The 12368-nt window shown below is 37.8% G+C and overlaps 1 protein-coding gene across 74 annotated transcripts in view; it reads right to left on the minus strand.

Annotated features, from left to right (window-relative positions):
- Positions 1-2078: 2078 nt before the first annotated feature.
- LPAR1 (lysophosphatidic acid receptor 1) overlaps positions 2079-12368 on the minus strand; it is a 165736-nt gene continuing 155446 nt past the window's right edge. For all 74 annotated transcript variants that reach the window (NM_001387471.1, NM_001351397.2, NM_001387475.1 and 71 more), the window contains one exon: positions 2079-4538. In NM_001387471.1, coding sequence (NP_001374400.1) covers positions 4237-4538 — 302 coding nt within the window. In that variant the 3' untranslated portion in view covers positions 2079-4236. The remainder of the gene's footprint in view (positions 4539-12368) is intronic.

Raw genomic sequence — 12368 nt, forward strand, 5'->3', positions numbered from 1 at the left:
CCTGGATTAGGTTATTTTGCTATAATGGACTTTATTGGACAAATTGATGAAGGTTGAACGGGATCTGTGAATTAAATGATAGTTCCTGCATCAATGTTAATTTGACTTTAATAATTGCATTGAGGTTATGAAAGAGAATGTCCTTATCTGTGGAATTACATAAAAAAGTATTCAGGGCTGATGGGGCATCATGTTGGCAATTTATTCACAAAATCTGTAAATTTGGTTAGCTTTTCCATAAGTTCCAAAATGCAAGTTATCTTTAACATAAAAAATTGGGTTGAGAATTCTCTCTGCAGGCTAGAGCTAGATTAAGGAATCTTGTGCCCAATTTCTCCTTCTTCCTCTTCTAATGAACATCCATAATCAAATGAGGATAGCATGATTGAAAATGGAAACTTTTTTTTTTTTTTTTGAAAATGGAATCTTCTAAATCAAGGATTGGAAAACTTTTTCAATAAAGGGCCAGAGAGTGAATATCTTAGACTCTGAGGGCCATTATAGACTCTGTTGCAACTACTCCACTCTGCGCTAGTATTTAATGATACAAAAGCAGTCATAGGGAATTAATAAACTAATAAGGATGGCTGTATTCCAATAAAACTTTATTTATGGACATTGACATTTGCATTTCTTATAATTTTCATGTGTCACAAAATATTTTCCCAACCATTTAAAAATGTAAAACCTGTTCTCAGCTCATAGGTCATACAAAAATAAGTGGATTCGACTGATGTGCCTTAGTTTGCAAATTCAGCATATTTTCAAATGGTCATTACATGTCACATCATTAAAGTTCATATTCAGAGTTATAAAGCTCATATTCATAGACTATTTGCTAATAATTTATGATTTAAGTTTATAATTTAATATTTTGTTAATAGTCTATGAATATGAGCTTTATAACATTAAGGGAAGAATTAGAGAATTTGCTGTGTAGACTACACAAGATGCAGGTGAATGCTAGAACATGAACAGCCCTTGCTTAGGAAGATTAACAATACATCCTGGCTCCTAGTTACGTACATCTCTTCTATCATGCAGTGTCCAACCTCATTCACAAACCACCATTCTAAACCCACAAATAATCCCTAATTCTTATGGGGTTTGGAATCAGGTGAAGCTCAGTTGATATGAAACAATTAGCACTTTGTTTCAAAAGCTCTTTTCATTAAAATGTTCTGTTTACTTTGTTATAGTGAAGGGATGTGATAAAAGAGGTGTTTCTACAGTTTTTACCTAGCATGAGTGCACACTCTGGGTTTTAAGGGAAGGAGCTAGAAGCAGTATATAATATTTCAGAAGCTGAGAGAATTCTGGAATAAACTGGAAGATGAACAGTGGAACCTAAAACAATAGCTAACTGGGAAGGAGAAAAGGAAGGCTGATAAGATTCATTAATTATACGTTAGTTGCGGTTTTAGGTCTTGAAAATTATGGTTTCACTAATTTAAAAAGAGGAATATATGTGAGGGGTGGCTAATTTGTAAAGACCAGTTCAAAGATATTTGATTTCTAACAATCTTATATCCACCTAAAATTAAAGGTTCAGAATTCTCTTCCAAATCCTCATTGAGACATTCACTTGAATAAATATTTTATCTTTTTCCAACACCTTAGTGATATACTGAAAATGTTATAATGGTTATATCATTGGAAGATATATATATAACTTTTATCTTGTTGGTTATTAAACCTATAAGTAGAAATACCACCGTGACTTTATAAACTAGTGAGAGTGTTTCATAAAGTTGTCAAAATTTTTTGTAAAATCAGTCTTTCAAAAAGAAACCCACTCTAACGGTTATCCTGTTGAGCTAAAGTACCATCTTAATAAATTGTCTCCTCTCAAGGAACATAAACTACCACCTCCCAGACATTGGCAAGATTTATTACTCAGATTGAAAAAAAGCAGTTGTGGGCTGGGGGAGCACACGGTTGCTCCGCCTCAGGGTTAAGCAGCCCTTGTTACAGAGAAATAAAGGAGGTCATAGTGGGAAAAACACCCACGCAATGCAAGCTGGAAGACTCTCGAACAAGAGAAATAGCACTGACCAGAACCACACATTACCAAACGCTGATTGAAAATGATTTATTAAAGTCCAATTAGTATGCTTTTCATTTCAAATAATCCATATAGCCTCCAGAAAAATATGCACATGTGTAAAAGTCCACGTTCATTTCTTTCACTTCCAATATAAAGTATTCTGTATTTTGTATAAAGTACGTGCAAACACCTTTCTGCTAATCGGGTCCCCACATTCTTTTCACTACAGGTACTTTACAAGTCTGCCCTCTGCTCAAACACTAACCGTGCACTGACATCCTCCTTCCTAGACAGCCATTCATCTCCCGGACTTCTTTCTCTCAGACATCCTCCTGACCTCCCCTGACCTGCTTCACCACTGTGTTACCTCACTGGTTACTTGTTACAGCAAACTGATGCAACTACTAGTCTACCTGGACAACATATTAAACAGGTATCACCTAATAGGGTGGCAGCCTATCGGGGTGATTCCTGGCGAATACACAGTAACCAACCACATACTGACACACTCAACCCATTTGCTACAGATGGACCCACACTAATTGATATGACAATCCTTTATTCACTCGGCACATTTGGTTTCTTTGCATTTTCTTCCATTTTACATTGCAGGTGTGGCTACCAAGAGCTGGATAACGAGTCCCTCAAACAAAGTTTGGAATTGCGAGATATATTGGGGTACCTTGATTCTTGAGACAGTTGAATTCTTCTAGTTGATCTTGTTGTATTAAAAAGTCACTCTCAACTGAAGTGACCACTGCATTTCTTTTGTAAAAAGGTCATTTGACTGGCTTTTCCTCACAACTGCCACCCATGCAGTACAAAAGCAGGAAATCCCTTTTCATGAAAGGTGTAAGTACAAGATGACATTTCACATTTTTTTAAAAAAAGAATCCTTCATGGGAATATATCCTAATAATCAATTATATGGAGACAGTTTTATGTACACCAAATTTCTGCAACTTTATAATAATGAAAATTAGAAACAACCTAAATAGTTAACAACATGGGAATGGTTAAATAAACTGAGTTGCATCCATTAAATGGAATATAATATAGCCATTAAAATTATGTTTTTGTAAAATTTTTAATGCCATAAGAAAATGTGGCAATTTTGCAATGAAAAAGATCTACTTATAAAACTGTTTACAGTATGACTCCAATTATGTAAAAAAAGTATACAATACACATATAGGCATACATGGGGGTTGCTTTTTAAAGGTGGTTACTTCTGGGTTGTGATATTATCAGTAATCATTTTTGCTTTTTTATACATTTCTGCATTTTTCAAGTTTTCTATGATGAGTATATTATTTTACAAAGACTACGAAAATTTTCCTCTGATATACTGGTAATTAGAATGTACTTGGGTATTTTAAATATATGGGAACAATATTATAGTGCTTCATCTTCTATGACTTTTTTGGAATACATATCACTTTGGTAATAAACTTACATTCCCTGTTTTATACTTGTTACAACATTTTAATTAAACAGTTAATATTGTGATTAGAGCATTGTTTGCTTCATGACCTAAACAAATACTGGCTTTGAAGTCTAGGTTCTATTTCCTAGAAGATTTAACATTAGTATCCTTTTAATCTTTTTAAGTAAGGCATACTGCATACATACATTACATGCATGCTTTCTAAACAAAAGATAATTCCAACTTACAGTTTTCCTATGTAAGGGAAAAAATGGAATTATGGTAGTTTAAAAGCAGTCCATAGTCTCATCCATCACAAACATGCTGATAGGCATAAACGTGTTTATTAAGTGAAACGTATCCTTTAAAAATAAAAAAGGGAAGCCTGTATATAAATGAAGTTGTGGATTCAACTAGCCAGAATTTATTCTGACTTGCACCAAACCACACAAAATCTTTTAAAAGTCTAGTTAGTGTAGTCTAAATGGACACTCCAGAGTCTGTTCTTGAATTCCATTGCAAGAGCTCCAACTTCCTACTTTCAGAAGGGATGGGGATCAAGATGAGGGTTGTCACATAAGCTAATTTTCAATATATATCAAGTCTTGTGGGGTCCAGGAACAAATACTGTCATTGGTTAGTGTTTAAGTACATGAGTTGACTTTTCTCCTCTCTCACACCCCACCTTGCCCTGGCAATTGGGTAGGGGGAGGCTGTTTATCCTCCAAGAGAGGACGGCTGGTTCCTCATCTCAGTTTCCGTTCTAAACCACAGAGTGGTCATTGCTGTGAACTCCAGCCAAGATGGTGTGGTTGAGGGAGGAAGCCGAGCGGTCTGAGCCTTCTGTGGGGCCGGTGGGGTTCTCACTGCGCTGGCAGCAGAGGATCTGCCTAAAGGTGGCGCTCATTTCTTTGTCGCGGTAGGAGTAAATGATGGGGTTCATGGCAGAGTTGAATTCAGCAAGGAGAAGGAAGAATTTCTCATAGGCCAGCACGTCGCACTGTGGACAGCACACGTCTAGAAGTAACAAAACCAATCCAGGAGTCCAGCAGATGATAAAGGCCCCTACAAGGACAAGGATAGGGATCAGAAGGATTTTTAAAAAGAGAATGAAAAAATATTATAAAACATGCGACCATAAAGTGAAATGATTTCAGTTCAATATAAAAATACTGAAGTTGGAAGCCACCATTGTCGCAAATGAAATACTCATTTCCTGAGAAAATCAGAAAAAATTTAACGATAGTCAACTTAAAATTTTATTTTGGACGTTACTAAAATCAAGCAATTATGAGACATTGATGATTATTATTTTGAGCAAAACACAAAGAGTTTGATAAGCAATTGAGATATGAAAAACTGCATTCAGGAAACACTTCACCTCACATAACAACATGGTTTTTAATAGCAGTGTTATTTTCAGGCAAAAGATAAGCACGAATGATAAGTGTCCTTTAATGTTTAATTAAGGCATAGTTTCTGGATTCAGGTTGTCTGGGCCCAAATCTTTGTTTGACATGTAATAAACTGGGTGAACTTAGGCAAACTACTTTCTTTCCTTAATTTTCCCATCTGAAAATGCAGATGATTATATTTACACCTCATAAGGTTTGTTGTATGGATTAAACAAGTGTTAAGGAAATAATCACTCAATCTGTATCTACAATAACAATAATAATTATTACCTGCTGAGTAGCATGGGCCTGTTTGGAAATTGTGATTTTCAATGACAAGATCTATGTTTTATTTTTATTCAACAACTACCCACATAGTGCTGTCCTATATGCTTTACCAGTAATAATTTATTGAATTTTCACAGTAGCCATATGACATAGAAACTAATATCCCCATTGTACAGATGAAGGAACTGAGACCCAGAAAGTTTATATAACTGGCTCAAGGCCACAGTACTGGAAAGCAGAAAAATCCCAGAGTTTCTGTTCTTAGAGGCTGCCTCCAGAGTTCAAGCTCTAGAAAATATTACATTTCTATATCTTGAAAATGATAACATTAAATATTTTAAACCAAATTTACTATTTCAGATGTTCTACTAATTTAGATCAACTTTGTTCTCTTTCTTCCCCCAATTATTCTGAATCATTACAATTTTACTATAACTGTAAGAGGAATGAAAATATAGATGAGATGCTTAATTCTATTTCATTTAGTTTCTGAAATCACTCATCATTTGGATCCCAGGAAAATGGAGGTTGTAAAATAGCATTAAATCCTACCACTGTGTTACTCCAGACTCTGCTGGGGATCTTCTACTGAAAGAACATGAGCCAACAGCGGTGGGCACCACTGTGTCCCATTACACCTCACCTAATGGGCCCCATATGTGTAATCAGGCAGGCTACATATGTGTAATCAGGCAGAGCGGAAGTAGGAGCAACCCCAGAAGGGCATTTGCATCTTCAGATTTAAATGGCGCTGGCTTTGGTGGATGCAGGCTTGGACTGGGGTCATGGATTTGGTCCAGCCTCAAGGAATTAGTTTCACAAAATGTAAACAAATGAGATTTAGTCTCCAAACAGCCCACTTTTGAATCTGAGCTTTCTTTTGTGAAACTTTTCAGCAGGGAAATGAAAATAAAGGAGAAAAGTACCCCCATAAAGCTCTTTGTTCTACAACACAAATGTGTATTGGTTTTAAACTGCTGTTCACTTTGAAGATTGGCCAAGGTACTTCATTTTCTAATAAATACAACACCTTAGACTTTCCTTGGAGAGAAAAAAATATTTCAAATATCAGGAGATAATAGCCAAGGAGCAATTTGAACTTCAATAAAAATGTTAATAAAGCATTCATTCCAAGTCCTTGAATTTCCTTGCTTGAAAATCACTCAGAAAGCTAAACATAAAGGAAAATCAAAGGAATGCCTCTTGGGTTTCAGAAATAATGCATTATTCATTGAGAAGCCAGGAAGGGAATTATTCTCAGGATGGAAAATGCTTGGATGGAAAATGCATGGTCCCATTATGCCATTTACTTGGAAACTAAAAACACACAGTCCCTTCATGAATGGAACAGCATTCTTTCAAGTTTCCTTTCCCCTTCCTTTTATCAAAGCTCTAATTGAGTTCAAATTCAGAACTTGATTAGACACAAGGAACATGCATCTCAATAGCTAGATTTTAAATAAAATGATCTTTTTCTCCTTCTGGGCAACAGAAGGGAATATCTTTATTCTCTCATACTTAAGCTGCTTGACTTTGCTCAAAAGTGAGAGAATTCAAACACTGTCATTTGTTGTTTATAATTTCTTCCCATGTTAAAATTTAAAAGGTGTAAGATCTTTCCAGAAAGAGCCCATAAGCCTTACTTTTAGACCAAGAAATGCAAGGAACCCTGCTAGACTGAAGGCAGGAAGTGGGAAACACCACAGCCTGACACAGGAGCTTCTATGTATGGATGCTTCATTGAGGAACCTGGATTCCTCTCCTTTATCTTCTTCACTGAAAGGAACTGGTTTTTGTACTAGGATTAAGCCCAACCACACAGTCCCAACACTCTGTGTTTGGATCTTCAAGACTCAATCCAATAATTTCAGTGACTCACAGTACAGGCCTCCGAAATCAACATCTAAAACCAATCATATGGAAATTCTGCGCCCCCCTCCCCCTCCTTTCTATTTCACAGAGGCCTCAAGGATCAAACTGACCAAAAGATGAGGATGCACTACAGAAGACGAAAATGGGGGCTGGAAAATTGTAAGGGATGAGGTTCCTAACCCACAATGAATGGATATTCTGAAATAAATTTTGCTCAAATTAAGGATTTCCCCTTGAGCTTCTGAAAACAATAATAAACCACACCTAAACCCCTTTAATAGTAAGGAGCTAACCATAATTCAATCAGGTTACAGGACTTGAGATGTGCATTGTGGACCCCATCAACATGTAATCTACAGAGAGTTCAGCGTACACCTGAAAGGTTGATAAGAGTTAAAACACCTCCATCTCAGCACCTCTGAAGTGGAGAAATAATAGCTCCCTGCCTCCTCCACATGGCACAGTGAGGATCAAACTGAGATACAACTTGTAAAAGCCCTCTATAAACTGTGCATCTACCTGACCACCATGACTTACGTGAGTGGCACGCTGGCGTTGCAGAGCCCTAGGATAGATTCTCCAAGGGCAGAATGTGAAAATGTGTTTTGGACAAGAAAGAGCTGGCATGTCAAAAGGCTCTGAGACAATACTATCCTGATTATAAAGAGATTCCTAGGACTTGCAGTTGGGTATGAAGAAGATAACAAGAGGGAATAGAGAGACAACATAGGGAAGCAAATCATTTTGGAGGTTCTCATGGGTCAATGCCATCACCTACCAAGATGGGGAATGAAATATAGTACTCAGTAGTCATAGTGCTTTGAGTAGTTTGTATATTTCCAGCACATTTCTGATAGAAGAATCCCACAAACCCAGGCACAACACCGATGAATGGTATGCAACAGTATGAAAGTAAGAGGAAGGGCCCGGTGCGGGAGCTCACGCCTGTAATCCTAGCACTTTGGGAGGCCGAGGTGGGTGGATCACCTGAGGTCAGGAGTTTGAGACCAGCCTGGCCAACAACGGTGAAACCGCATCTCTACTAAAAATACAAAAATTAGCCAGGCGTGGTGGCGCACACCTGTGGTCCCAGCTACTTGGGAGGCTGAGGCAGGAGAATCACTTGAACCCAGGAGGCAGAGGTTGCAGTGAGCCAAGCTCACACCACCACACTCCAGCCTGAGTGACAGAGCAAGACTCCATCTCAAAAAAAAAAAAAAAAAAAAAAAAGGATGAAGAAGTGTGGTTATTTATTGTAACATCAGAAACAGAAGTAGCAGAAGATAAGATGTCCAAGGTCACAAAGGTCTTGTATATCTGGCTATTTGAAATTTGTCCAGTCCAGCATACATTCTCAACCCTAGCCACACATTACAATAGTCTGCAGAGCTTCTTTAAAAAATAAAGACCTTCACCCACACCTCCCACTATGGGATTGTAATCTCATTGGCCTTACTGGTCAGATTTTCATTTAAGACACAACATTGGTGACAGAGTGGAAGAAGAAAATAAAGTAAAGGCAAAACTATTTCCAAATTCCAGAAGAGAGATAATGAAAGCCAGAATCAGGACAGCAGCACTGGGAAGAGATATAGAAGGACTGGAGAAGTATTTAGGAGACGGACTCCATGAGATGGATGAGACAGAGAAGTCTAGAATGACTTCTAAATTTTCACTTTGGTTGAAGGAGGAAACACAGGAGAAAATGTTTACTGGTGTTTTGTAAGGGAGGTAAGGAGAAGAAGACAGCTGATGAGCTGGGTTCAGTATGTGTTTAGTTTGAGGTACCTGCAAGACATCTAATGGAAATGCCTTAATTACATCTAAATAGGCTCATGGCAATTTGTGTCATGGGAAACTGTCTCACAGCACGCTGAACAAAAGTGGTTATATTGTCCCCTGATTTGCCAATATTACAAGTAACATGGGGTGGAGGATATTCAAAACAGATCCGTGGGTTGTTCTTCCTTGAACAAGCTTTATTCCTCCCTGATGCATCTGTCAAAGCAATCTGTGAGAACCCCAATGCCCACAAAGATGGAGGGAGAGGTGCTGGAATGCAGACGCAAAAGGCAGGGAGGAATGAGGCTGTTTTGGAACAACAGGTCACAGCTGCAGATCGAGATCATATTACCACACCTTCCCTCAAATCTATCCAACCTCATCAGCTGAATAATGCTTACCATCTGGTCTCACAATTACAGTCTTTTTTTCTAGAATGACTTTTTCCTAACTAGTTGAACTTTGCTTACATATGGAATGCAAGAACCAAAGTTAAAGAGGAAAACAGTCCTTGCCAGAGAAGACCTCTAGAGACAGTGTCCAAGATTTTTGATGAAAAACACAGAAAGCGTTTCTAGTCTGGCTGGCAAAGTTGTGTTTTTACAAAAGAACCAGACATCCCATAGATCCAAAACAAGTCAAGGTAAATCAATTCTACAACAGCACTGTGCCCAAGGTGGCCTCACTCTTCTTGTTTTTCAAATGAGGATCCCAGAAACAGTCCCATCTCAGAGACCTGCGGTGGGAATCAAGGGAGAAAATAAATGAGTGCCTAAGTTGCTTTTTCTGTTTTCCCTAAATTGTTTATTCCCTCAGGTCAGGCAGCGTGGTATCCCAGAATCTAATCAAATTTTAGTTCATCTCTGTAGTTACGTTGTGATTTCTGCTATTAAGGTACACACATACTACATAGTTAGCTAGGAAATCCTTCAATGCTATGTATCTTAACAGAGCCTATGTCAGAAAAAGTGGCCACAGATGCAAAGCTTATTCTTCCCCAGTCTTGCAGCTAAGGGTTCATTATAATGGGGGTGTATGTGGATGGCTTTTTGAGATTAACGCTTTTTCTAAAAGAATAACCCAGATTAATTAAAAAATCTTTTTTCCTGACTATTGAAACTATATAATTTACCTGAGGTATCTCCACAGTATTATTGTTCTATATTATTTCCACCCTGATACCAATTTTACTCCATCTAGTTTGGTGTTCAACACTGCCATTCCTTCCTGGTCACAGCACATGTTGCATACATTTAAAGTTTCATGATTTCATTTATTGTATGATGTGCTCTAGTATTTTCATTACTCACTCTTGAGAGCAACATTTATCTTTTAGAGAAGGATAATAACACCATACAGAGCTCTAAAGCAGAGCAGAATACTCATTATGTTCTCTTTTTAACATTCCTGGGTGACAGTTTTAGCTTCATTAGACTCTCCTGATCACCACAATGCTACTTTCCTGTGCCCAAGAGAATGCCAAAGCTGCCTTCCCTCTGGTGTACTCTCCTTAACATTAAGTAGTGTGTATTGCGCACGTACAAGTTCCATACCCTACAACAGACTCTAACTCTCATCCTGCAACTGTACCTTGGAAAGTCCACATTGAAATGACTTGAATGCTAGTGCCATTCTTACAGACCATTCAGGTGCTGAAAAGCCAGGTAAAACCACTTCTCCACTGCTACCATCCTAGCCAAGTGAGCAATACCTTTTATCTGCCAATTGCAACAGGCTCTTAACCAATTCCTCTTCCTCCACACTGCTTCCCTAAAGTCCAGCTTGTACAAAACAAGCATAAATCAATTTGCACTAAGTCACTCTCCTGCTTAAAACCCTCCAAAGTCTTCCTACTTGAAATCCTTACTGCTATCCATAATGCCCTACACATGACTGGCCCTGCTAGTTTCTTGGATCTCATCTCTTTCCACTCGCTCCTCATTTACGAGGTTCCAGTCACACAGACCAAGCCCATTTCTGTCTCAGGATCTTTGCATTTATAGATCCATCTGCTGGGATTACTCTCTCTGCAGCTTTTTATGTCTATTTACTTATTAAATGTCGCTTTCTTAAAAAGGCTATCCTTGGTTATCCTAGCCAGAGCAACAGCCCACCACCATCACCACATTCTCCCATTTTATTATCATCACATGCTGATATACCCAAATGATATATCCTTTATTTATACCCAAAATTATTGTATTTATTGGTTTACATGTTTATTGTTTTATCTTCCCTCAACAAGAATATTAACTTCATGAAGGAAGGAATGCTACCTCTTTCATGTCTGTATCTCTGGAATCTAGAATATTGCCTGGCGACAGCAGACACTCAGTATCTTCCATTGGATGAATTAGCAAGTCATAGCTAAGCGCCTAGTACATATATCCCAAACAAGAAAAATTAATAAGTAGAAATGTCATTAAATTACGGGTGGAAAATAAACATTAACATCTACCGTGTGTAAGGTCTTTAAATGGATGCTATAGGACATTCAAAGGGGCATAAGGAAGACCCTGGAAGACCAAATTCTAGAATGGTGGAACAATTCCTACACACTTTTGAAGGTTCAGAATTTGTATCCTATAATTTTAACCTGTATTACCTGGCCAAATTATTTTTAAGTGTGAGGGTTTTTTAAATGAGTGCACAGATACATAATAAAAGTGCAAGCACATGAATGAGAACAAGCAGCAGCAATTTCCGGACAACTTCTGAGATGACAGGCAGGAGGAAGGAGTAGGGGACGGTGCTTTGGTTATATCTACAATTCTTTTCAGAGACCTGAAGCAAATTATGTAAAATGTTAGCATGTTTGATTTTAATGTTTGGTCATTAGATGATTGCCGTATTACTTTTTGTGCTTTTTATATATTCAACTCACTCATATTCAGATATTTATAAATTTAGAAATTTTAACAACAAGAAACTAGAAGTCTTGATTTTTCTTAAGTAAAAGGTAAGAAGAGGAGGCAGAAGAGTAGAAAGTTTGCTAAAAGTTTTGTCTTGTTTGGGGGCTACTGTAGAAACCGAATTATATCTTGAATTTTATTTTATTTTACTTGAGACTGAGTCTCACTCTGTCATCCAGGCTGGAGTGCAGTGGCATGATCTTGGCTCACTGCAACCTCTGCCTCCCAGATTCAAGCGATTCCCTTGCCTCAGTCTCCTGAATAGCAGGGATTACAGGTGCACGCCACCATGCCTAATTTTTGTATTTTTAGTAGAGTTGGGCTTTCACCATGTTGGCCAGGCTGGTCTTGAATTGCTGACCTCAGCTGTTCTGCCCACCTTCGCCTCCCAAAGTGCTAAGAATATAGCCATGAGCCACCGTGCCCGGCCTATATCTTGAATTTTTTAAAGTACGTTTTTAAAATTTAAAGTTAGCCACTATTAAAAATAGATATTGGATGTACCACTCAAACCACTAAAGAAACAAACAAAAATTTTTTAAAAAGGAAGGAAGAACAAAACAGTTTGAAAAGAAAACTCAATTTATCAAAAGGAAGGAAAAGAAAAGACAGAAGCAAAAGCAAGGAAATGCACACACGTAAATAGA

This window comes from Homo sapiens, chromosome 9 (assembly GCF_000001405.40).
Source record: "Homo sapiens chromosome 9, GRCh38.p14 Primary Assembly".
Taxonomy (NCBI): domain Eukaryota; kingdom Metazoa; phylum Chordata; class Mammalia; order Primates; family Hominidae; genus Homo; species Homo sapiens.